We start from the raw sequence: 26,600 nt of genomic DNA on the forward strand, positions 1-26,600 counted from the left end.
AGTCTCACCCCCATGATACCTCATTATGTATACAGAAATATCCCAAAATCCAAAAAAATCCAACATTGGAAACACTTCTGGTTTCAGGCATTTTAGATAAGGGATACTCAAACCTGTGTATATGTGTATATATGAGAACCCATTATTTCATACTGATACTAGAGAGAGGTTTTTTTTGTTTTTCCCCAAGACGGAGTCTTGCTCTGTCGCCCAGGCTGGAGTGCAGTGGCACGATCTTGGCTCACTGCAACCTCTGCCTCCCCTCTTGCCTCAGCCTCTGGAGTAGCTGGGATTACAGATGGGTGCTACCACGCCTGGTGTTTTTTGTTTTTTGTTTTTTTTTGAGACAGTCTCGCTCTGTTGCCCAGGCTGGAGTGCAGTGGCGCGATCTCGGCTCACCACAACCTCTGCCTCCCGGGTTCAAGTGATTCTCTTGCCTCAGCCTCCCAAGTAGCTGGGACTACAGGTGAGCACCACCATGCCCGGCTAATTTTTCTATTTTTAATAGAGACGGGGTTTCACTATGTCAGGCAGGCTGGTCTCAAACTCCTGACCTTGTGATCTGCCCACCTCAGTCTCCCAAAGTGCTGGGATTACAGGCGTGAGCGACCACACCCGGCCACTTGTTTTTTTGTATTTTTAGTAGAGATGGGGTTTGCCATGTTGGCCAGGCTGGTCTCAAACTCCTGACCTAGTGATCCATCTGCCTTGGCCTTCCAAAGTGCTGGGATTACAGGTGTAAGCCACTGTACCCAGCCAGAGAAAGAGGCATTTTTAACAGCCTCTTAAATTTATTAGAATCGTGGATATTTTCCTTGATATTACTGAAGCAATTCTCCTGCCTCAGCCTCCCGAGCAGCTGGGACTACAGGTATGCACTGCTAAGTCTGGCTAATTTTTGTATTTTTAGTAGAGACGGGTTTTACCATGTTGGGCAGGCTGGTCTCGACCTCCTGGCCTCAAGTGATCCGCCCACTTCAGCCTCCCAAGGTGCTGGGATTACAGGCATGAGACACCGTGCCCAGCCTGAATTGTACACTTTTAAATGGTTAATTCTTTAGCAGGGCATGGTGGCCCGTGCCTGTAGTCCCAACTACTTGGGGGGCTGAGGCAGGAGGATCACTTGAACCCAGTAGGTCAAGGCTGCAGTGAGCTGAGATCGTGTCACTGCACTCCAGCCTGGGTGAGAAAGTGAGACCCTGTCTCAAAAAATAAATTAATTAGTAAATTAATAAATAAAAGTTAATTTGATGTTTATGTGAAATTTAACTTAATTTTTAAAAAGCAACCTAGGCTAGGCGCGGTGGCTCATGCCTGTAATCCCAGCACTTTGAGAGGCTGCGGTAGGCGGATCACTTGAGGCCAAGAGTTCGAGACCAGCCTGAACAACATGGTGAAACCCCATCTCTACTAAACATATGAAAAAGTAGCTGGGTGTGGTAGCGTGTGCCTGTAATCCCAGCTATTTGGGAAGCTGAGGCAGGAGAATCACTTGAACCCGGGAGGCAGAGGTTGCAGTGAGCTGAGATCCCGCCTCTGCACTCCAACCTGGGTGACAGAGGACTCTGTCTCCAAAAAAAAAAAAAAAAAAAAGCAACCCAGTAATTTCTAAAGGTTAGCAGCAAATGTGAACTCTGAAACCCTATCAATGAACTTTTGTATTATTACATTAAAATACATTGGTCTACTTTATACTTTGAGTGGATCTCTCACCAAATCTGATTTTGTCACATAATATATTGGTCATGTGAAAACTTCTAGTTCACTAAGTCATGCAGCTCTTTCGAAGGTTGACATATTACATAATATCAAAAAAAAAAAACCCCACAAAACTAACTGGGAAGTGGACCGTCTCATGGTGGAGTATATAAACTTTCCAAAATTCTCATTTTTGCTTTAATTTTATCACTGGGCAAAAATAGTTGTTTTCCTTGAAAATTTTCAAGAAAGCATCTGCCAAATACCCAAGTCTAAATAACGTACTTTGTTGGTTATTCTTTCATCAAGTAAAAATGCTGTTCTATGAAGAAGACAACTAGTTAGCTGGAAACCCAAATAACTGTAAAAGTACTTTTCCTTAGACAACCACAGTACTTCAATATATAACAGAAGTGTTTTTTGAGTACTTCCCATTTTATCACACAAAATATTCAAAAGCCAAGTACTAAAAGGTCAAGATTAAATAAAATTAATTTTTACTGCTTCATCAAGAACATTCTTAAATGAAACTTTTTTTTTTTTACTGCAAATTTAAACTGCATGACAATAAAGAACACAATGCCTGCTACTAGTTTGGTGCTATTGCTCAGGGTTACCCTAACGTTTTAATCAGCATTGCTTTTGGATATCACTGCAAATGTTAACACAGGGAAGAAGGCAAATGATGACTTAGTATTATTATGAAACTATTCTGATCTCACAGACTCCATGAAAGGAGTCTATTCTCTAGGATTCCACAGACTACACTTTGAAAACTGCTAGGCTACTCTAACACACTTGTTTAATAGGTAACCTACCAATTCATATTTATTTCCAAGTTTAATGCAAACTACTTGACAGCAAATCTCTCTTCTTTGTACTTCGCTTTAATACCCCGCAACGATTTGAATGTGTCCCCCAGAAGTTCATCTGTTGGATACTTGGTGCCCAATGCAGGCGTGTTAAGAGGCGAGACCTTTAGGAAGTGCTTGAGCCATTCTCAGATTAATGGGTTATTCAGAGAAGGGGCTAGTTAGCACAAGAGTGGGTCTGTAATAAAAGCCAATGTGGCTGTCTCTCGTTAGTCCCCTCACCATGTGATGCCCTGTGCCACTCTGGAACTCTGCAAGGTCCCCACCAGCAAGAAGGCCCTCAGCAGATATGGCCCCTTGACCCTGGACTTTCCAGCCTCCAGAGCCGTGAGAAATAAATTTCTTGGGGCTGGTCATGGTGGCTCATGCCTGTAATCCCAGCACTTTTGAGAGGCCAAGGTGGATATATTGCTTGAGTACAGGAGCTCCACTCCAGCCTAGGCAACATAGTGAGACCCCATCTCTACAAAACATTTTTAAAGCAATTTAGCTGGGTGCAAAGGCACATGCCTGTAGTCCTAGCTACTTGAGAGGCTGAGGCAGGAGGACTGCTTGAGCCTAGGAGTTCAAGGCTACAATAAGCTATGACTGCACAACTGCACTCCAGCCTGGGTGACAGAGAATAAATAAAAAGGAAAGAGGAAAGAAAGAAAGGTAGGGAGGGGACCGGGTGCGGTGGCTCATGCCTATAATCTCAGCACTTTGGGAGGCCGAGGAGGGTGGATCATGAGGTCAAGAGATCGTCTGAGACCATCCTGGCCAACATGGTGAAATCCCATCTCTACTAAAAATACAAAAATTAGCTGGGTGTGGTGGCGTGTGCCTGTAGTCCCAGCTACTTGGGAGGCTGAGGCAGGAGAATCGCTTGAACCCAGGAGGCAGAGGTTGCAATGAGCTGAGATAGTGCCACTGCACTCCAGCCTGGGAGACAGAGCAACACTCCGTCTCAAAAGAAAAAAAAAAGAGAGAGGGAAAGAAATTTATTTATTTTCTTTATAAATTACCCAGTCTCAGGTTATAGCAACAGAAAATGGACTAAGACAACACACTACTATGAAGTGCCCCTAAGAGATTAAAAATAAGTGCTGTTACTGCCTAACCAACTTCAAACGGTACTTTCCTTCACCTAATGCTTATTAGCCATGTCAATAGACCCTCCCTTCTTCAAAATCCTATTCCTAAAAATCTGAAATGATTAATTCCTTCTAGTCCATGTAAGTCTAGTCTATTTTTAAATTTTTATTTATCTATTTTTGGGGTTTTTTTGTTGTTTTTGTTTTTGAGACGGAGTTTCCCTCTGTCACCCAGGCTGGAGTGCAGTGGCGCGATCTCGGCTTACTGCAACCTCCACCTCCCAGGTTCAAGCAATTCTCCTGTCTCAGTCTCCCAAGTAGCTGGGACTACAGGTGCATGCCATCATGCCCAGCTAATTTTTGTATTTTTAGTAGAGACAGGGTTTCATCATATTGCTCAGACTGGTCTTGAACTCCAGACATCAGGTGATCCACTCGCCTTGGCCCCCCAAAGTGCTGAGATTACAGGTGTGAGCCACCACATCCAGCCTATTTATTTATTTTTGAAACAGGGTCTTGTTCTGTCACCCAGGCTGGAGCACAGTGGCTCCATCACAGCTCATGGTTCACTGCAGCCTCAAACTCCCAGGCTCAATCAATCTTCCCACCTCAGCCTCCCAACTAACTGGGACTACAGGGACATGCCACCATGCCCAGCATTTTTTCTTGTAAGCAAAGATGGGGTCTTGTTGTGTTGACCAGGCTGGTCTCAAGCTCCTGGGCTCAAGTGATCCTCTTGCCTAGGCCTCCCAAAGTGCTGGAATTACAGGTGTAAGCCACCACGCCCAGCCAAATTTAGTCTCATTATTTCTCTTCTGATTTCTAGAACTTGCTTCATAGGTCACTTTTCTAGGAAAAAAAGACTCTTGATTAGACCAGGGGCATCCAACCTTTTGGCTTCCCTGGGCCACAATGGAAGAACTGTCTTGGGCCACACATAAAATACACTAACACTAAAGATAGCTGATGAGCTGGAAGAAAAAAAAAATCTCATGTTTTAAGAAAGTTTCTGAATTTGTATTGAGCTGCATTCAAAGCTGTCCTGGGCCGCATGCAGCCCAAGAGTTGCAGGTTAGACAAGCTTGATCTATACCATGCGGTTCTTACAAACTTCTTCTGTAAAGGACCAGATAATAACATTTTAGACTTTGTGGGGCAAGTACTAAACTCTGCTTTTGTAAGCAAGTGGGTGTGGCTGTGTTTCAACAAAATTTCATTTACCAAAACAAGCAGCAGCTATAGTTTGCTGACTCCTGATCTTGATACAGGTCAATAGACCTACCACGAGTTTGGAGGGAAAAAAAAAAAAAAAAAAAAAAGGTAGCCACAAGCTGGCTAAAATAAACTAGTAAGAACAATGAAAATAGTATAAACAAACCCAACAGACAGGAATATCTATCTTGCTAACATTCACTGAGCTCTTACTATGTGCTAGGCATTGCGCTAAAGTGCTTCACAATGCATTATCTCATTTAGAACCTCTGGAGATATAATTATCCTCCTGTTAGAGAGAAAAGAAAAACAGATAAACTGAGTAACTTCATACGATTTCACAGTCCAGGCCAGGCACAGTGGCTCATGCCTGTAATCCCAGCACTTTGAGAGGCCAAAGCAGGCGGATCATGAGGTCAGGAGTTCCAGATCAGCGTGGCCAATATGGTGAAACCCCGCCTCTACTAAAAAATACAAAAATTAGCTGGGTGTGGTGGCGCATGCCTGTAGTCCCAGCTACTCAGTAGGCTGAGGCAGGAGAATCGCTTGAACCCGGGAGGCGGAGACTGCAGTGAGCTGAGATCGCGCCACTACACTCCAGCCTGGGCAACACAGTGAGACTTCGTCTCAAAAAAAAAAAAAAAAAAAAAAAAAAAAAAAAAGATTTCACAGTCCTTAAATGGCTGGGCGTGGTTAAAACACAGGACTGTCTTACCTGAGTCAATGTCCTTAACCATCGTACTATGCTATCTATATTGTCATTTTTGGTTTCCGATCCAACCAGACTGGTAAGAGAGTAATTCTTATGAAAGACTATTACTGTTTACATGCTCTTACAGTGTCTTTTCTGTATCACTGAGTTTACTACACAAACCTTTGGCTCACATTCTTGAAAGAAAGAGCCTAGATGACCTTGCAGTGGGTAACATACTGCTCAGTAATATGCACCAAGGATTGTAAAGGTCGCTATGCTTAAATGTGACAAGTTAGAGTGTGCTGCCTAGAGGTAATGAACAGGAGGTAAACAGCTTTCTCCTACTGTCACCTTACAAATCAGCACAGAAGTTCTGACATACACGAAAGCAAATGTGCCAGACAATCATTTAGAAAAGGTGATATGAGAGGTCAGGGCGGTGGCTCATGCCTATAATCCCAATACTTTGGGAGGCCAAGGCGGGCAGATCACCTGAGGACAGGAGTTTGAGACCAGCCTGGCCAACATGGTGAAACCCCGTCTCTACTAAAAATACAAAAATTAGCTGGGCATGGTGGCAGGCGCCTGTAATTTCAGCTACTCGGGAGGCTGAGGCAGGAGAATCACTCGAACCTGGTGAGGGGAGGGCGGCGGGTGGAGGTTACAGTGAGCCAAGATCGTGCCACTTCACTCCAGCCTGGGTGAAAGGCGAGACTCCGCCTCAAAAAAGAAAAGAAGAACAGGCAGTATTAGAGTGAAAGGTTCTTTGCATTGGCCCATGCCTATAATCCCAGCACTTTGGGGGGCTAAGGCAGAAGGACTGCTTAAGGCCAGGAGTTTGAGACCAGCCTGGGAAAAACAGTGAGCCTCTGTCTCTACCAAAAATAATAATAATGAAATTAGCCAGGCATGGTGACATGCCTATAGTCAGTCCTAGCTACTTGGGAGGCTGGGGCAAAAGGATCACTTGAGCCCAGGAGTTCAAGGCTGCAGTGTGCTATGATCACACTACTGCACTCCAGCCTGGGCAACAGAGTGAGACCCTGTCTCTAATAAATAAATAGAATTAAAGGGACAGACGTGGCCAAAGGGCAGATTTCACATACACTTCAAAATTACTCTTCAGCCACTCCAAAACAGCAATTAAGGCCTATGAGAGTTAAGAAAAAAAAAAAAATTTCTCATCTATCCTTTAAGAGAAGGTACTGGTTTATGCCTTGCTGATTATGACTACATAATCACTAAGATTATCCTCACTAATCTGGCTCCTAACATCAAGAGAAAAGGTAAAAATAAAGGATATAGCTGGACATGGTGGCTCATGCCTGTAATCCCAGCACTTTGGGAGGCTGAGGTGGGGCAACTGCTTGAGCTCAAGAGTTCCAGACCAGCCTGACCAACATGGTGAAACCTCGTCTCTACTAAAAATACGAAAATTAGCCGGGTGTGGTGGCACATGCTTATAATCCCAGCTACCTGGGAGGCTGAGGTGGGAGGATCACTTGAATCCAGGAGGCAGAGGCTGCAGTGAGCTGAGATCATGCCACTGCACTCCAGCCTGGGCAACAGAGTGAGACTCCATCTCAAAAAAACTTAAAAAAAAAAAAAAAAAAGGGTAATTATTACTTCTAAGAACTAGGTAATCCCACAACAACAATGAATGAATCTTTACCTAGCCTCTAGGTTGTAGCAAGTTTGGTCTGTTGCTATTTTGTCTTTCAGTACTCAACAGACTAGGAAATAATACTCCTTAGTTTACTTATAAAGGGACTTAGAAAAGTAGGCTCCAGCTCCTTGGGGTGGGGAAATAATTGCAGGCAGCCTGGGGAATAAGCAGAACAACCATTGTGGTAGGTCCCATCCTGCAATCTTTTTTTTTTTTTCTTTTTTTTTTGAGACAGGGTCTCACTTTGTTTTCCAGGCTAGAGTGCAGTGGTGCAATCATGGCTCACTGCAGCCTCCCACCCCAGCCTCCCGAGTAGCTAGGACCACAGGCACATGCCACGACTAATTTTTTGTAAAGATGGAATCTCCCTATGTTGCCCAGGCTGGTCTCAAACTCCTGAGCTCAAGCAATTCTGCGATGGTCTCCCAAGGTGCTGGGATTACGGCTGTGAGCCACTGTGACCAGCTCATCCTACAATCCTTAAAGAAAGTAATAACCTCATATTCACTTCCTAACAAAAGGAAAAAAAGCACAGATATTAACACCAAAAAATACAGACGTTCAAAGACTATTGCTTGTAAAGATGTGGCAAGAAGAGAAATTTACAGGCTTTAACAAAAATATACAAGTTCCCAATCAAATTAAGGAATTTCCTCTAGACTGCAACCTGATAAAAACTCTTACTACAGGATTAACGAGTTTGAAAGTTCCCTCTCATTCCCAACTCTCCCCATCAGTGCTGTTATTCTGAATGGTCAGAAGCAAAAATAAACTCACATAAAACCAACTGTAACAGTGTGACCCATACTTTATTCCTTTTTTTTTTTTTTTTTTTTTGAGACAGAGTATTGCTGTGTCGCCCAGGCTGGAGTGCAGTGGTGCAATCTAGGCTCACTGCAACCTCCACCTCCCAGGTTCAAGAAATTCTTCTGCCTCAGGCTCCCGAGTAGTTGGGATTACAGGTGCCCACCACCATGCCTGGCTAATTTTTTTTTTTCTTGAGACAGTCTTGCTCTGTCGCCCAGGCTGAAAGTGCAGTGGTACGATCTTGGCTCACTGCAACCTCCGCCTCCCGGGTTCAAGCGATTCTCCTGCCTCAGCCTCCCGAGTAGCTGGGACTACAGGCGCAAGCCACCACGCCCGGCTAATTTTTTGTATTTTCAGTAAAGACAGGGTTTCACTGTCTTAGCCAGGATCGTCTCTTATCTCCTGACCTCGTGATCCGCCCGCCTCAGCCTCCCAAAGTGCTGGGATTACAGGCATGAGCCACCACACCTGGCCAATTTTTTTATTTTTAGTAGAGATAGGGTTTCACCTTGTTGGCCAGGCTGATCTCAAACTCCTGACCTCATGTGATCCACCCACCTCGGCCTCCCAAAGTGCTGGGATTACAGGCATGAGCCACCGCTCTCGGCCCCATACTTTATTCTTTAATATACTTTCTCATTTTCACCTAACACAAAAGCTGCTTCATAAATATCACACCTAGGAGGCACATAAAGAGAATTTAAGAAAAGACATCAGGCCGGGTGCAGTGGCTCACGCCTGTAATCCCAGAACTATGGGAAGTCAAGACGGGCGGATTATGAGGTCAAGAGATCGAGACCATCCTGGCCAACATGGTAAAAACCCCGTCTCTACTAAAAATACAAAAATTAGCTGGGCATGGTGGCGCAGGCCTGTAGTCCCAACTACTCAGGAGGCTGAGGCAGGAGAATCGCTTGAACCCAGGAGTCGGAGGTTGCAGCGAGCCAACAATGCGCCACTGCACTCCAGCCTGGCAACAGAGCGAGACACTGTCTACAAAAAAAAAAAAAAAAAAAAAGACATCATACTAAACTGAGCAGAATTATAATTTCTAAATGAATGCTGATCCCCTAATTGCCAATGAAAGACACAATCACTACAACTGAACCCCAAAATTGTAACACTTGCAATGCATGGACACTTAGAACAATCTCTAATTTTTCCTTCCTTCCATGTGCTGTTTGACTGTCCTTTTGTACAATTCTAACTCTGGCAGATGGCAGGGAAAGAATACCGCATTTTGATAATATCATACTAAACAGAAAAGAAGAAATAAAAAAGAAGGGGGAGTCTCGAATGAGTAGTTAATAGATATTACTTGCTCTATTATCTGGCTTTTTGCTTCTCCTTAAGAACAACCCCTCTCCCCCACCCACCCCTGTACCCTTGGCAATTCTGAATGATTAGAAACAGTCGGCCAAGCGCAGTGGCTCACGCCTGTAATTCCAGCACCGTGGGGGCCGAGGCAGGTGGATGACTTGAGGTCAGGAGATCGAGACCAGCCTGACCAACATGGTGAAACCCTGTCTCTACTAAAAAAAAATTACAAAAATTAGCCGGGTGTGGTGGTGGGCACCTGTAATCTCAGCTTCTCGGGAGGCAGAGGCACAAAAATCACTTGAACCTGGGAGGCAGGGGTTGCAATGAGCAAAGATCACACCACTGCACTCCAGCCTGGGCTACCAAGTGAGACTGTCAAAAACAAAAACAAAAACAAAAAACAAAAAAGCCACACAATGTGGCCTGTCCCCTGCCTCCTTGCTCCTCACCCCTAAGTATCTTAACAAACTACAGCTGTAAAATCCAGGAGGCATTTCTCTTTTAATCATTCTTTTCTCAAGCACATACACCTTTGAATGGGAACAGAAAGAAGAGACCCACCAGCCTGGACAACACAGGAAGACCAAATTTCAATAAAAAATACAAAAATTAGCCAGGTGTGGTGGTACACGCCTGCAGTCCCAGCTACTCAAGAGGCTGAGTTGGGAGGATAGCTTGAACCCAGGAGGTCAAGGTTGCAGTGAGCCGTGATCACATCACTGCACTCCAGCTTGGGTGACAGAGACCCTGTCTCAAAAAAATAAAAAAATAAAAAAGGAGATCCAGGACAGTTACTACTTCTACTAGGAACATGGTCAATAACACTTGCACACAGAAGCTCTCTCGTTTTGCCACAACACAAATACCTTTTTCTTTCTAAGACAGCAAGGAAAAAAGTGTATGTGTGGATGTGTCAAAAGGGTATTTTTCTTGCTCTAAGCCTCCCCCCTCCCTCTCCTTGTCCATCAGCCCAAGCAAGCAGAGATGACGCAGACTTCCTTATATAATGGCCTGTGATTTCCTAGACTGCAGGCCTTTCCCTTTGTGTTCTGTATACACTTACACACACGAGCGCGCGCACATTCTCATTGCTTTGCAGCCCCTGGCATGATGCCAACACTCAGTCAGCTGGTTGACTCCATTCACAGAGCAGGGTTGGAGCTGACATGGAAAAGGGGAGGGGTAGAGAGGGTAAGGGGGAGGCTAGAACCATCACTGCTACAGACAAAAGAAATTTTAAAAAGGGGAGGAAGGAGAAAGAGAAAACCTTAATAAAACACTCTCCTTATTGCTTCAGCTTGAAGACAACTAGAAGCCAGAGACCCTTACCATTATAGCAAATGGATGAAGCAGAGGGAAAGAAGATCCAAACCGAAAGGAGCTTTGTATGAGAAACAATAATTCTGCAACAAATTTTTTTAAAGCAACAGTGTTTATTACTTCAATCCCATTAGAAACCTCAGCATATTACCTTCTACACATAGCCAAAAACTACTAGAAAGAACTCAGAAGAGATTTCGAGTTTCTGCTTTTAGCAAAGAAAAATAAGGATTGGGGAGGGCAAGACAGTTAAAACTACTTAGAGGTATACATTTTTCCGTTCCTTCCTCTAGCTTCCAGAAAAGTGAGAGAGATAAGAAATAGAGAAAGAGAACAGAAAAAGGAGGAAAATAATGAGATGGGTTTAGGTTTTTTTCGTGTGTGTGTGTGTGTGTGGAGGGTCGTGTGTGTGTGGAGGGTCCCCTTTCTTTCTCTGTTCTATCGTCTCTTTTCTACCGTAAGAGAAGCTCTTTCTGTAGCACAGAGGTGGCCCCCATGCGTGCCAGCCCCCTTGAGAGCCCTGCACAAACCCGGTCTCCAAGCGGGCACTGCCCTGCCAATCACATGGTGTACTGTTATATTAAACAAAAGAAACAGGGGGATGCTTACTTTTACCCATGATGCCTAGCGGGGACAGGAGGGAGGGAGAGAAAAACCAGTTGTAGCCGGTTTATAACCTCAGGACATGGAATTATCTCTTAATTTTTAAAAGTCATTTGTGGTACAAAAAAGTCTGTTAGTCTCCCCACCCTAACTATCCCCCCATCATTGCAGCCTAGTGCCAAACTTTGTCTTCATGAATGAGAGCTAGTTTCCTCTCAAATCATGATGCTTTAACTGTTTAGTTTCCAAAGCCAACATCCAAGATAGGAAATCACAGCATCAATACCAAAGCACACCCCAAATTATAACAAAATGAAGACATACTGCCCACCAAACTTCTTTTCTTTATCCCTATTGCTAGTGCTAGGGAACAGGTACTAATAAGACAGCAGGTGTATTCACTAATTTTTCTTTTTTCCTGAAGCTGTCCCACAGATAGGACATCTGATTTAACCCGATCCATTGACACCGTTCAGGGCAGCTGAATCCGCACCTAACACAAAGCATAGCAAGGTTTCACAGCAAAGTAGTCAAGACAGTACCCATGCATTCTTTAAAAACAGCTTAGGCCTTTGTTATGTATATTTTACTGCAATTTAAAAATTTTTTAATGCTTTAAGCCCAGCCATAGTATGATTGCAATATTATTCCACTTTCCTGTGTCATAGCTAGAACACTTTACTCTTTGCATTCTAGCACCTCCTCACCTACCACATCCCACTTACCACACACACATCCCTATGTCATTCTATAGACAAATCCAGATGCTAGACATACCTAAGCCTGGTCTCTGATTAACTTTCCCTTTCCTGTTTTAGAGCAACTTGTTCCAATCATTTTATAAGGACTTTTCACTTCCCCAAAGTGCTGATATGGGGTCAGAAAATAGTGGGGAAGAAATCTAAGTAAACCAAAGAGGAAGAAGGGCAATGGTAATTGTTTTCTTGGAGATCTATTGGCTGAGGACCTTTGCTCTAGGATCTTTCTCTATCTGATCAACTAGTTATAAATTGTAACAAGGAATAACAAGGGGGGAGGGATTTTCTTACTTTTCAACTGATATCTCCCATGAATATGTCATTCCAAATGCTTGCCTCATTTGGACCTCTGAAATTCACATCATAATTACTGCCTCCATCAGAGTCTCTCACAAAGCCCTTGTTCTCAAATATTAAAGTTTCTAGCAAACATGGAGAAAAATAATCTTCACCCTACGCAAAAATATTATTTCTAAATAAAAGTTTTCCTGAGCCATATAATATTAACTTCAATTTTCAGAAAACTAACACCGAGCTAAATCAAAACTAAGTAGTACTGGCCACTGGCATAAGAAATTCAACAATTTACAAACTACAAAGGAAAACCCTTTATCTACAACACAACATGAGCTTCAAGTGGTTGATACCGTACTATCTCAGTCACAATAAGGTCCTCTTAATAGGAGACCATCAGAGGTATCCAGATCTAGACACTGCTATCATTTTACAACATAAAGGAAAACATGATAAATGTCGCAAGCAAAATAGATTATTTCTTCTCATTCATCACATTTCCACAGGAAACCAATTATGAATTTTAAACTGAAGCTCACTAGTTCCATGTTGATGATGGTAAGTATGATTGTCTATTTTTTAACAACCCATTCAAAGATAATTCCCACGTGAGTCTGCTGAATACATCTGACTGCACTGGTCTTTTTTTTTTTTCTTTTTTATCAGTTTTTAATATAAAAAGCTTAGATACAATTAAGCTGTCTGTAGCAATTACCATTGATTGCCATGAGTTAAATCTTCAACATTGTAGAGGCTGAGGCAGTACTCTACGTTTACTATATCTCCCTCTATATGTTGGATTGATTAGTAGTCCAGAGGTACCTTCAGAGCCTTGGAAAATTAAGAACTATATAGTGGGCAGAGACCCTACTCTTTTCAGCTAAATCATACTCACCCAAAACCAAAGTACTTAATTGTGTGAGGTGAAAACTAAATTTAAAAATACTTCCTCTTTGCCAGGCGTGGTGGCTCACGCCTATAATCCCAGCACTTTGGGAGGCTGAGGCGGGCAGACCACCTGAGGCCCGGAGTTCGACACCAGCCTGGCCAACACGGTGAAACCCCATCTCTACTAAAAATACAAAAATTAGCCTGGCGTTGCAGGCACAGTGGCTCATGCCTATAATCCCAGCACTTTGGGAGGCCGAGGCGGGCAGATCACGAGGTCAGGAGATCAAGACCATTCTGGCTAACACGGTGAAACCCGTCTCTACTAAAAATACAAAAAAATTAGCCAGGCGTGGTGATGGCGGGTGCCTGTAGTCCCAGCTACTCCGGAGGCTGAGGCGGGAGAATGGCCTGAACCCGGGAGGCAGAGCTTGCAGTGAGCTGAGATCGCTCCACTGCACTCCAGCCTGGGCGACAGAGCGAGACTCCACCTCAAAAAAAAAATTAGCCGGGCATGGTGGCAGGTGCCTGTAATCCCAGCTACTGGGGAGGCTGAGGCAGGAGAATCGTCTGAACCTGGGAGGATGACGCTGCAGTGAGCCGAGATCGTGCCACTGCACTCCAGCCTGGGGGACAAGAGTGAGACTTCATCTCAAAAACAAAAACAAAAAAACTTCCTCTTGGTAAATATTACTCAAGTTGTGATACCCTAAAGAATACCAAATTATCTAAAGTTAAGAAAAAGATCTACATTCACTGAGCATTTAATGCACCAAGCCAGGAAGGTAGGATCTTTTCTCCATTTTCTTTTTATTTATTTCTTTTTTTCGAGACAGTCTCGCTCCGTTGCCCAGCTGGAGTGCAATGGTGCGATCTCAGCTCACTGCAACCTCTGCCTCCCGGGCTGAAGCAATTCTCCTGCCTCAGCCTCCCAAGCAGCTGGGATTACACGGGCCTGCCACCACACCCAGCTAATTTTTGTATTTTTAGTAGAGACAGGGTTTCACCATGTTGGCCAGGCTGGTCTCAAACTACTGGCCTGAAGAGATCCTCCCGCTTCGGCCTCCCAAAGTGCTGAGATTACAGGTGTGAGCCAATGTGCCCGGCCCTGTTCTCCATCTTCTGGATATGGAAATTAATTCAGTGAAATTTTAAAAAGCTTAAATGAAGTCACTCATACAGCTCACAATTAGAGGCTGGCTCCAAAGCCCATATGCTTTCCACTATACCACGATGCCTTGAGCATTTCTCAGCACTCAAAAGCCCAGTTCTCCAGGGTAACCATGCTTGCCTTGCCAATCTCCACTTTACCCACTGGATTAAAGAAAATATTAGCCAAATATGATGGAAGTAAAAACACATAAAGTCTCTGACAGACATGTATGATCTCCACTCATAGATGATTTCACCCAGGACTACTTCTGAAAAGCTAAGGACATGAGCTTCAAGTCAGTGACAAGTAAAGGAAAAATATTTAAATTTTAAAAAAGGGGCTGGGCATGGTGGCTCACACTTGCAATCCTAGCACTTTGGGAGGCAGAGGCAGGTGGATCATCTGAGGTTAGGAGTTCGAGACCAGCCTGGCCAACATGGTGAAACCCCGTCTCTACTAAAAATACAAAAACTAGCTGAGTGTGGGCTGGGCGCGGTGGCTCATGCCTGTAATCCCAGCACTTTGGGAGGCCAAGGTGGGTGGATCACGAGGAGATTGAGACCATCCTGGCTAACATGGTGAAACCCCATCTCTACTAAAAAGACAAAAAAATTAGCCGGGCGTGGTGGTGGGCACCTGTAGTCCCAGCTACTCAGGAGGCTGAGGCAGAAGAATGGTGTGAACCCAGGAGGCGGAGCTTGCAGTGAGCCAAGACGGCGCCACTGCTCTCCAGCCTGGGCGACAGAGCAAGACTCCGTCTCCAAAAAAAAAAAAAAAAAAGGAAGACTAAAGATCTAAAGATGTACAACCTAGATACAAAAAGAATTTGATAAATGCTGTCTGGGAGGATCAAATCACAAAGAATAGCATAAGAAAAGAGGTGATATCCAGGCTTAGGCAACAGAGTTCAAATTGATTGCAACTGAATGCTTAAAGGTACTCCTACAAAAGAAATGTAAACTTCATAGAACCACTTAACAAAAACTCAGTAATATCATAAACTGGCAAAAACAGTCGTTATCTTTGCCCTTTACAAATTTTATAAATAACTTGTTAAATCTTTGTCCCCATTTTAACATACAGTTATGTGTTGCTTAACAACAGGGATACATTCTGAAAAATACATGATTAGGTGATTTCACCGTTGTGTGAACATTGTAAAGTGTATTTAAACAAACCTAGATGGTATAGCCTATTGCTCCTAGGCTATAAACCTATATAGTATAGTCTGTTACTATACTGGCAATTATAACACAATGGTAAGTATTTGTTTAAACATATCTAAACATAGAAAATGTATGGCAAAAGTATGATGTTACAACCTTATGGGACTACCATTACGTGAGGCATGACTGTATATCCTTGGACTCAGCAATCAGATCAGTATTAGAACCATTACAAACGCTGAAAAATAGTTTTCCTTTTTTTTTTTTTTTTTTTTTTTGAGACGGAGTCTCGCTCTGTCGCCCAGGCTGGAGTGCAGTGGCGCTATCTCAGCTTAGTGCAAGCTCTGCCTCCCGGGTTCACGCCATTCTCCTGTCTGAGCTTCCCGACTAGCTGGGACCTCAGCCTCTCGACTAGCTGGGACTACAGGTGCCTGCCAACACGCCCGGCTAATTTTTTTTTTTTTCGTATTTTTAGTAGAGACGGGGTTTCACTGTGTTAGCGAGGATGGTCTCAATCTTCTGACCTCATGATCCGCCCACCTCAGCCTCCCAAAGCACTGGGATTACAGGCATGAGCCACTGCGTCTGGCCGAAAAATAGCTGTTTTTTTAAAAAGCCAACATTATGCTGAAACATGGCTAAATGGTTAACTTACACTTAAAATTATTCACTGGTGTCCAATAATACAAGCCAAAATTTGTTTATCTAGCTGTTAGTCCTCTCCTACTTCTTATAGTCCTGTCTGCTTTGAGTCGGTCCAGTCTATTTGGAGAAATCAGACCACAATGCTTCAAAATTACTATTACAACAACAAATCAGATCACAGAACAGCCAAACCCCATTCATATGGTCAAAAAGTTACATTTTTTCTTCATTAAACAGAAAATAGCTCAACTGGTCAAAAGAAAACATCAGTTCTTTGGAGATGAGGATTCCTCTCCACATGTTTAGAAATAGCACACCAGGCAATCAAGCACTAATACAAAGAAAACCATTTGCTTTCCCAATCCCTGATACACAAATTGGGAATCACACCCAACCTAATGTGCACTGCTGAGTTCTCTGGAAAAAGGCAGTTTAGTCTAACAAGGGAAGTCAGTTTTCAATCACTTGGGAGTTACCAATCAATGACTGATTGATTGACAAGTGAAGTAAGTGTCTACCACTATTTGGGAAGATGTATTTATCAAAATTTTGGCTAAAGTAAAAACTAGGTACACTACCTTATAATGCAGAATATGGACTAGTTCTTAACACAGACACAAGAAATGAGAACAAGACTTCGAGTCCTGAGACAGCATTTAAATTAGGGAGTACTGTTCTCAAAGTAGTACTCCTATTTTATTTTTTTTAAAGAGACAAGGTTTCGCTGTGTTGTCCCAGTGGCTGGGACTAAGGTGTGTGCCACTGTACACAGTCAAAGCATATTCCTTAATGTGTTAACTCATTATGGGTTTACAGGAAGTAAGATAACTGTAGAGGCCTTCAAGACTTCTATTGACTCAAGTATTGCAAATAAGCATAAAAAATTACTGCAGGCTGGGTGTGGTGGTTCATGCCTGTAATCTCAGTACTCTGGGAGGCCAAGGCAGCTGGATCACTTGAGGACAGGAGTTGGAAACCACCGTGGCCAACATGGTGAAACCCTGTCTCTACTAAAAATACAAAAATTAGCCGGGCATGGTGGCAGGCACCTGTAATCCCAGCTAATCAGGAGGTTAAGGCAGGAGAATCACTTGAACCTGGGAGGCGGAGGTTGCAGTGAGCTGAGATCGCGCCACTGCACTCCAGCCTGGGCAACACAGTGAGGCTCTATCTCAAAAAAAAAAAAAAAATTACTGCCATACACTACTCAATGACTTAATCATCATACAGGAACAGAGAAAATAAACAGATCAACTTTTTCATTTATCATACAGCACAAGATGTGTCTAGGCCAATCTCTTCTGTAAGGGTGGTATACATTTTCCTAAGGCAACTGGGGGATTCCACTGCCTATCCTTGGAAAAAAAACCATGAAAATCATATGGAGCATTATATTAGTATTTAATACCTACAGAATAATTTCTGTCTTCCAAAAGACAAAGTATCTCTAGTAGTGTCTACAAGATAGTACCTAACTAGAATAGTCCTAAATCCCTAACTTATTCTCATCCTGTATCAGCAGCATGCTATTGATTCCCAGTGATGAGGTGTGCAAATACTTCATTTCTTAATACTTGATTGCTGATTATTTTCATTCACTCCGATCTGTACCTTCCCTCTATCTTTGCAGGGGGACCAAGTTCTTTTTAGGCAAGTCACAAATGTTCATACTTTTCTGACAACAAAAATTAAACTTGAACATCTAAATGTGCTAACAACTGTTATCAACTAAGTGCCACAGACGAAAGAGAAAGTAGTTTTAGTAGTCACGTTTATCTCTTTTGCCACAGAGTTTCTAAGCACTTGAGTTCTACTTTTTGGCCTGGCTTTTTGCTGTTACTAAGTATCTAAGTGTCTCTTCCTCTCTAGCGTTCCAAGAGTAGAAATCCCAGCTTATCAACAGTTTCACTTAGAGCTTCAGACATTTTACTCTACATTAAGCTTCTCATCTTTCACTTCTGTTGTGAAGGTTGCTCTTATCTTTATCCTCTGAAATCATAAACAATGCAAAAAAGAAAAAAATATATAGCTACCCTCTATATAGTGACGTTCTACTCAATCTCTGACTTAAGAGCCCCAAACCATGAGGAGTAATAATAGAAAACCTAAGACTAAAATGTAAGTTATCACAGCCATACAGTCAGTGACTTCCATAAATCTTTTAATTTGCCCTCCACTTTAATAATCACCTCACTGAATTGCTATGTTCAACAGGCTATACTAGAACTAGATCTAATTATTGAATAAAAATAGAATGTATCAGGCCGGGTGTGGTGGCTCACCTGAGGTCGGGAGTTCGAGACAAGCCTGACCAACATGGAAAAAACCTATCTCTACTAAAAATACAAAATTAGCAGGGCGTGGTGGCACATCCCTGTAATCCCAGCTACTCGGTGGGCTGAGGCAGGAGAATTGCTTGAACCCAGGAGGCGGACGTTCTGGTGAACCGAGATCGTGCCATTGCACTCCAGCCTGGGCAACAAGAGCGAAACCCCGTCTCCAAAAAAAAAAAAAAAAAAAAAAACACACAAAACAAAGAATGTACCATGTATATTTATAAATCACTCTGGGCAGGCAAGTTCAGAATTTACTTCACTCAAACTTGGTAGACTTGTGAGCCATCCAATTATCGGAATTTCAAGACAATCACACAATTAACCCCCCTCATAATTACACTAATGAGAAAGATGGAGACAACATAAAAGGAAACAGCTGGCAAGAGGAAAGTTGTAGATGCGTGAACGTCAAATTTAAAATACACTCACATGTTACTTATTTTCATATGTTCTCTGTATTTTCAACATTAAAATTAACTGTAAAGAATAGCAAAATGTTAGTAATTTTTGAAGCTTGTGGTGGGCACATGAAAGTTAATTACTTTGTACTCTATTTGGGTATGTAAGTTCTTCAGAATACAAAATAAAAAAAGTCACAGGAAATTTACAAACATCTACATTATCAATAGAAAGATAAGAGGCCAGTGGGGCGCGGTGGCTCACGCCTGTAATCTCAGCACTTTGGGAGGCCAAGGTGGGCAGATCACCTGAGGTCGGGAGTTGGAGACCAGCCTGACTAACATGGAGAAACTTGTCTTTACTAAAGATACAAAAAATTAGCCAGGCATGGGGGCATGCCTGCAATCCCAGCCACTCGGGAGGCTGAGACAGAAGAATCACTTAAACCCGGGAGGCAGAGGTTGCAGTGAGCCAAGATCGCGCCATTGCACTCCAGCCTGGGCAACAAGAGCGAAACTCTGTTTCAAAAAAAAAAAAAAGAAAAAAAAAGAAAGATAAGAGGCCTGGTGTGGTGGCTCACACCTGTAATCCCAACACTATGGGAGGCCGAGGCGAGTGATCACAAAGTCAAGAGATCAAGACCATCCTGGCTAACACAGTGAGACCCCGTCTCTCCTAAAAATACAAAAAATTAGCCGGACGTGGTGGCACGCACCTGTAGTCCCAGCTACTCAGGAGGCTGAGGCAGAAGAATCGCATAAACCCAGGAGGCAGAGGTTGCAGTGAGCCAAGATCACACCACTGCACTCCAGCCTAGGCGAAAGAACAAGACTCCGTCTCAAAAAAAAAAAAAAAAACGACAGAACAAGAAACAGGCTTTCTTGCTTCCCAGCCAGCCTGGCAGCTGCTCTTGGTTGGGGGCCATCCTGAACCTAAGACAGAAAGCTGGTGGCCGCAGAGGATGAAAAAGCGGCTGGAGTTGATCAACTCTAGGCTCCAACTTATTTAAAGTGAAATTGGTCATCCTCACCAACTGCCCATCTTTAAGGAAATCCAAAACAGAGTACTAAACACCATGTTGGCCAAAACTGGCATCCATCATTACAGTGACAATAACTGTAAGGCATGTAGAAAATACTACAGAGTTTGTACACTGGCTATCGTTAACCCAGGTGATTCTGCTATCATTAAACGCATGCCAGAACAGACTGGCAAAAAGTAAACCATGCAAAGTTTTTCTTTAATAAAATGTGCCGACAGGTGCGGTGGCTCACACCTATAATCCCAGCGCTTTGGGAGGCCGAGGTGGGAGGATCACCTGAGGTCAGGAGTTCAAGACCAGCCTGACCAACATGGCAAAACCCCGTCTCTACTAAAAATACAAAAATTAGCCAGGTGTGGTGGTGGGCACCTGTAATCCCAACTACTCAGGAGGCTGAGGAAGGAGAACTGCTTGAACCTGGGAGGCGGAGTTTGCAGTGAGCTGAGATCGCACCATTGCACTCCAGCCTGGGCGACAGCGAGATTCCGCCTCAAAGAAACACACAAATAAAAAAGGAAAAGAAAGGAAAGGAAAAAGGGAAGGGAAAGGAAAGAAAGAGGTGAAAAAAAAAGGAAAGGGAAGAAAAAAGGGAAGGCAGCCGGGAGTGGTGGTTCATGCCAGTAATCCCAGCATTTTGGGAGGCCAAGGTGGGTGGGTCACTTGAGGTCAGCAGTTCAAGACCAGCCTGGCCAGCATGGTGAAACCCCATCCCTACTCAAAATATAAAAAATTAGCTAGGTGTGGTGGCGGGCACCTGTAAATCCCAGCTACTTGGGAGGTTGAGGCAGGAGAACTGCTTGAGCCCAGGAGGCAGAGTTTGTAGTGAGCTGAGATCGTGCCACTGCACTCCAGCCTGGGCAACAAAAGTGAAACTCTGTCTCGTTTAAAAAAAAAAAAAAAAAAAAAAAAGAGGTGGGGGGGAGAGGCAAAGGGAAGGAAAAAGGAGAGGGGAAGGGTAAGAGGAGGTAAGTATGGGGGGGGGGGAGGGGAGGGAAAAGAAGTAGATTAAGTTCTGTCTCCAAAGAAAGAGATGTCCTTTTTTACTGTAAACTTTTTCCAATTGTAAATTCTGTACCATGTGCATATATCACCTATCCAAAAACTGACTAAAATTTAAAAATAAAAGGAATGGCTAGATTTAACATAATTACTAAAAGACATAAGCACAATGAAAATTAGGGACAGAGTTTATGGCCGGGTGCAGTGGCTCATGCCTGTAATCCTAGCACTTTGGGAGGCTGAGGCGGGCGGATCATGAGGTCAAGAAATCGAGACCATCCTGGCCAACATGGTGAAGCCCCGTATCTACTAAAAACACAAAAATTAGCCAGGCATGGCGGTGGCAGACGCCTGTAGTCCCAGCTACTCGGGAGGCTGAGGCAGGAGAATTGCTTAAACCCAGGAGGCGGAGGTTGCAGTGAGCCGAGATCATTTCACTGCACTCTAGCCTGGCAACAGAGTGAGACTCCGTCTCAAAAAAAAAAAAAAAAAAAAAAGAAAAGACAAGACAATTAGGGACAGAATCCCCAGGCCTAGCTAGAAGCAGCATAAGTCACTCACAAAACTCAAGAGTAAAACAGGTAACAAGACTATTATAGTATATAGAACACTACCACTAGTTAAGGTAAGACACACTAAAGGCTAAAGATCAGATATCTAGGAAAAAAGATCTAGCTGACCAAATATTAAACATACTAATAAGTATTCCCTCCTATTGAATCCAAGGGAAAAATAAATAAACTGATAAGTAAAGGGGTCTTTCAGGGTCAAAGCATCATCACTCACCTAGAACTCTCTAGACTGTAGAGGGATACATGAATACATAGCTGCTCATAACAATTGACTAGTAAATGGTCAAGGAGTTTAAAATCAGAATTGATGGATAAGATATGCCAATGTGAAATTCTGGACATTCATCGCTTCTGTCCAACAATATTATAAAATAATTTTGTCATCAAAATGGGCCCAACATTAGACAGTATCCAGTAGACTTGTAAGAAACCTTTTTTTTTTTTTTTTTTTTTTGAGACAGTCTCCCTGTGTCACCCAGGCTGGAGTGCAGTTGTGCCATCTTGGCTTATTGCAACCTCTGCCTCCCGGGTTCGGGCAATTATCCTACCTCCGCCTCCCAAGTAGCTGGGACTACAGGCACGTGCCACCACGCCTGGCTAATTTTTGTATTTTTAGTAGAGACGGGGTTTCACAATGTTGGCCAAGCTGATCTTGAACTCCTGACCTCGTGATCCACCCGCCTCGGCCTCCCAAAGTGCTGGGATTATAGGTGTGAGCCACTGCGCCCGGCCAAGAAATCTTCTTTATTGAAATGAGGGAAGAAAATATTCATGCAGAGGAGTGGATCAAGTTCTGTGAGGCTGTACCTAAACACAGTACAAGAGGAAAAACTTGTCTGGTCTGGATTTTACCTAGAGGAAACTTCTAGCAGTCTATTAGCTGAGATTTGCCCATTAGCATTGATGAGCACATGGAACCTACAGGAAAAACAGTGACACTTTTCTTCAATTCAGTGACATAAAGATTTGTCAAAATTCTGACTGTTGTTACGAGGATTTGGTATAGTAGGCAGGCTTATCATTTTACAGGGCAGTAAATGTTCACCTTAAAAAGTTTATCCCAGCTGGGCACGGGCCGGCTCACATCTGTAATCCCAGCACTTTGGGAGACTGAGGCAGGCAGATCACTTGAGCCCAGAAGTTTCACACCAGCCTGGGTGACATGCCGAAACCCAGTCTCTACAAAAAAAGACAAAAAGTTAGCTGGGCAGGGTGGCACATGCCTGTAGTCCCAGCTACTCAAGAGGCTGAAGTGGGAGGATTGCTTGAGCTGCAGGAGGCAGAGGTTGCAGTGAGCCGAGATCACAACACTGCACTCCAGCCTGGGCAACAGAGCAAGACTCTGTCTCAAAAAAAAAAATAAAATAAGTTTACCCCTTCCCCTAAGTAAAACTGAACTTTTAGAAAAGTTTATTCTTGGCCAGGCACACTGGCTCATGCCTGTAATCCCAGCACTTTGGAGGCCAAGGTGGGTGGATCACAGGGTCAGGAGTTCGAGAACAGCCTGGTCAACATGGTGAAATCCCATCTCTACTGAAAATATAAAAATTAGCCAGGCATCGTGGCAGGTGCCCGTAATCCCAGCTACTCAGGAGGCTGAGACGGGAGAATCGCTTGAACCTGGGAGGCGGGGGCTGCAGTGAGCCGAGATCGCACCACTGCACTTGGCCTGGGTGACTGAACAAGACTCCATCTAAAAAAAAAAAAAAAAAAAAAAAAAAACCCAAAAAATGTCCCCATACTAACTGGAACCACTATATTAAACACCACCAACATGACTTTATCTTCAAGGAGGTTTGTGGCAATTATTACCAAGTCTCAAGCTTGTAGTTGAACACAAATACTACCAGAGGAAGTCAGAATAGTGGCTACCTGTTGGAGTGGAGGAGGGTAATGACTAGGAGAGAACATAAAACAGACTTCTGGGACTGAGCATGTGGCTTACGCTTGTAATCCCAGCACTTTGGGAGGTTGAGGCGGGCAGATCACTTGAGGTCAGGAGTTCAAAACCAGCCTGGCCAACATGGTGAAACCTCGTCTCTACTAAAAATACAAAAATTAGCCAGGTGTGGTGGCACACGCCTGCAGTTCTAGCTACTCAGGAGGCTGAGGCAAGAAAATCGCTTCAACCCAGAAGGCAGAGGTTGCAGTGAGCTGAATTCGTGCCGCCGCACTCCAGCATGGGCGACAGAGCAAGATTCTGTCTCAAAAAACAAAAAAAGACTTCTGGGTCTTCTATATCTCTATCTGGGTGGTCACCTTACAATTAAACTACTTTTCTGTATGTACATTATACCTCAGTTAAAAAAAAAAGTTTACGGGCCAGGTACAGTGGCTCACGCCTGTAATCCTAGCACTTTGGGAGGCCGAGACAGGCAGATCACGAGGTCAGAAGATTGAGACCATCCTGGCTAACACGGGGAAACCCCGTCTCTACTAAAAATACAAAAAATTAGCCAGGCATGGTGGCACGCGCCTGCAGTCCCAGCTACTTGGCAGGCTGAGGCAGGAGAATCGCTTGAACCCGAGAGGCAGAGGTCGCAGTAAGTGGAGATTGCTCCACTGCACTCCAGCCTGGGTGACAGGTCGAGACTACGTCTCAAAAAAACAAACAAAGGCTGGGCGAGGTGGCTCACACCTGTAATCCCAGCACTTTGGGGGGCCAAGGCAGGTGGATCACCTGAGGTCAGGAGCTCAAGACCAGCCTGACCAACATGGAGAAACCCCATCTCTACTAAAAATACAAAATTAGTCAGGTGTGGTGGCACATGCCTGTAATCCCAGCTACTTGGGAGGCTGAGGCAGGAGAATCCCTTGAACCTAGGAGGCAGATGTTGCGGTGAACCAAGATCACATCATTGCACTCCAGCCTGGGCAACAAGAGCGAAGCTCCGTCTCAAAAACAAACAAACAAACAAAAAGTTAGCTGGGCGTGGTGGAACGTGCCTGTAGTCCCAGCTACTTGGGAGGCTGAAGCATGAGAGAATCAGGTGAACCTGGGAGGCAGAGGGTGCAGTGAGCCAAGATCGCGCCACTGCACTGCAGCCTGGGTGACAGAGCGAGACTCCATCTCAAAAAAAAAAAAAAAGTTTACAGAAACTGATAAACAAGAGATTGGCAGTATTTCCTTGGCTTAATGCTGATGACAGTCAGGTACAAGAGGTACAGAACCAACCAGTCGTGGTGGCACATGCATGTAGTCCCAGTTACTTGGGAGGCTGATATGGGAGGATCACTTAAGCCCAAGAGATTGGGGCTGCAGTGAGCCACGATCGTGCCACTGCACTCTAGCCTGGGCAACAGAGTGAGACCCCGTCTCCCACAAAAATAAAAATAAAAAAAAAAGAAGAAAAAATAAAAAGAACGGAGACATCTGAGGGGCAAAGGAGACATGTTACTAAAAATTTATTGACAATATAATGATGTACTCTTGAATCTAAGATATGCAGTATTTGGGTCCTTCCTTTATCCATATAGCTTCAGTTACCTGTTTCTCTTTATCTACAAAGATTCTAAGTCTGATGCTCACAGCTAAGGTTAGGGCTGAGTACGCTGTTCATTGAGACTTTTATACCTCTGACTCTGGAAATAAGAAAGGCTTTTCAAAAATCCATCTGGGCTGGGTGTAGTGGCTCATGCCTATAATCCCAGCACTTTGGGAGGCTGAGGTGGGAGGATCACCTGAACCCAGGAGTTCAAGACCAGCCTGGGCAACATAGCAAGACTCTGTCTTAAAAAAAAAAAAAAAAAAAATTAGCTAGGTGCTGTGGCATGCGCCTGTAGTCCCAGCTCCTCAGGAGGAAGTGGGAGGATCACTTGAGCCCAGTAGTTCTAGGCTGTAGTAAGCTATGATACAGCCACTGCACTCCAGCCTGGGCAACAGAATGAGATTCTGTCTCTTAAAAATATATTTTAAAAAAAATCCATCTAACAAGGAAGTCTCTAAATAGCATTAAAGAAAGCTGCATGAGATGAGGCATAAAACAGATCCTGGCTCCTAATATTAAGATAGTTGCCTATCCTGAATCAAAAGCACCACTCAAAGAAGAACTGGATTCTCCACTCCAACAAATAGGTCAGATAAAGGGGATAATCTGAAACAAAAGGGAAAGTAGGAGGGACCATAAAAACAGAATGGCTTGAGGTCCTGTAAGAGTGAACAGTAAAATTTTCTTTTTTTTTTTTTTTTTTTGGAAATGGAGTTTCGCTCTTGTTGCCCAGGCTGGAGTGCAATGGCATGATCTCTGCTCACCACAACCTCCACCTCCCGGGTTCAAGCAATTCTCCTGCCTCAGCCTCCTGAGTAGCTGGGATTACAAGCATGCACCACCACACCCAGCTAATTTTGTATTTTTAGTAGACATGGGGTTTCTCCATGTTGGTCAGGCTGGACTCCAATTCCCAACCTCAGGTGATCCGCCTGGCTCGGCCTCCCAAAGTGCTGGGATTACAGGCATGAGTCACTGTGCCCAACCATGAACAAGAAAATTTTCAAGGTCAATGAAGCAACTCCTAATACTGACTGAAATATTAACTACAGAGAGTTCAGGAGATCATGCTATATTCTGCTAACACATCCATAAATTTCTTAAGGGAAAAAATGTCATCAAACTACAGATTTTATACTCATTGCTTTTTATATCCAAGGCAACATTAGTAAGACCCATTTTTGAAGGATCTTTTCAAAAAGAGAAATTGGTTAAACAAATACTTCCAGTTAATTAAAAAATACTGTGGTTATGGCTTTGGGAACTAAAATAGCTCTTAGAACACTTTTTTTTTTTTTTTGAGATGGAGTGTTGCTGTCGCCCAGGCTGGAGTGCAGTGGCACGATCTCGGCTCACTGCAGGCTCCACCCCCTGGGGTTCACGCCATTCTCCTGCCTCAGCCTCCCGAGTAGCTGGGATTACAGGTGCCCGCCACCTCACCCAGCTAATTTTTTGTATTTTTAGTAGAGACGGGGTTTCACTGTGTTAGCCAGGATGGTCTCGATCTCCTGACCTCGTGATCCGCCCACCTCGGCCTCCGAAAGTGCTGGGATTACAGGCGTGAGCCACTGCGCCTGGCCAAAACACCAAAACAC

At 43.8% G+C, this 26,600-nt stretch overlaps 1 protein-coding gene across 3 annotated transcripts in view, besides 1 other annotated feature; it reads right to left on the reverse strand.

Annotated features, from left to right (window-relative positions):
- Positions 1-26,600, reverse strand: part of GATAD2B (GATA zinc finger domain containing 2B) — a 118,248-nt gene that overhangs the window by 66,019 nt on the left and 25,629 nt on the right. The window lies entirely within an intron of this gene.
- Positions 10,290-10,584: a silencer, noted in NCBI's record as "tiled region #14566; K562 Repressive DNase unmatched - State 14:Gen5'". NCBI's record gives its function as "represses a minimal TATA promoter and a strong SV40 promoter by Sharpr-MPRA in K562 cells {active_cell/tissue: K562}" and the evidence as "EXISTENCE:reporter gene assay evidence [ECO:0000049][PMID:27701403]".

The sequence above is a fragment of the Homo sapiens genome, chromosome 1, assembly GCF_000001405.40.
Source record: "Homo sapiens chromosome 1, GRCh38.p14 Primary Assembly".
NCBI lineage: Eukaryota > Metazoa > Chordata > Mammalia > Primates > Hominidae > Homo > Homo sapiens.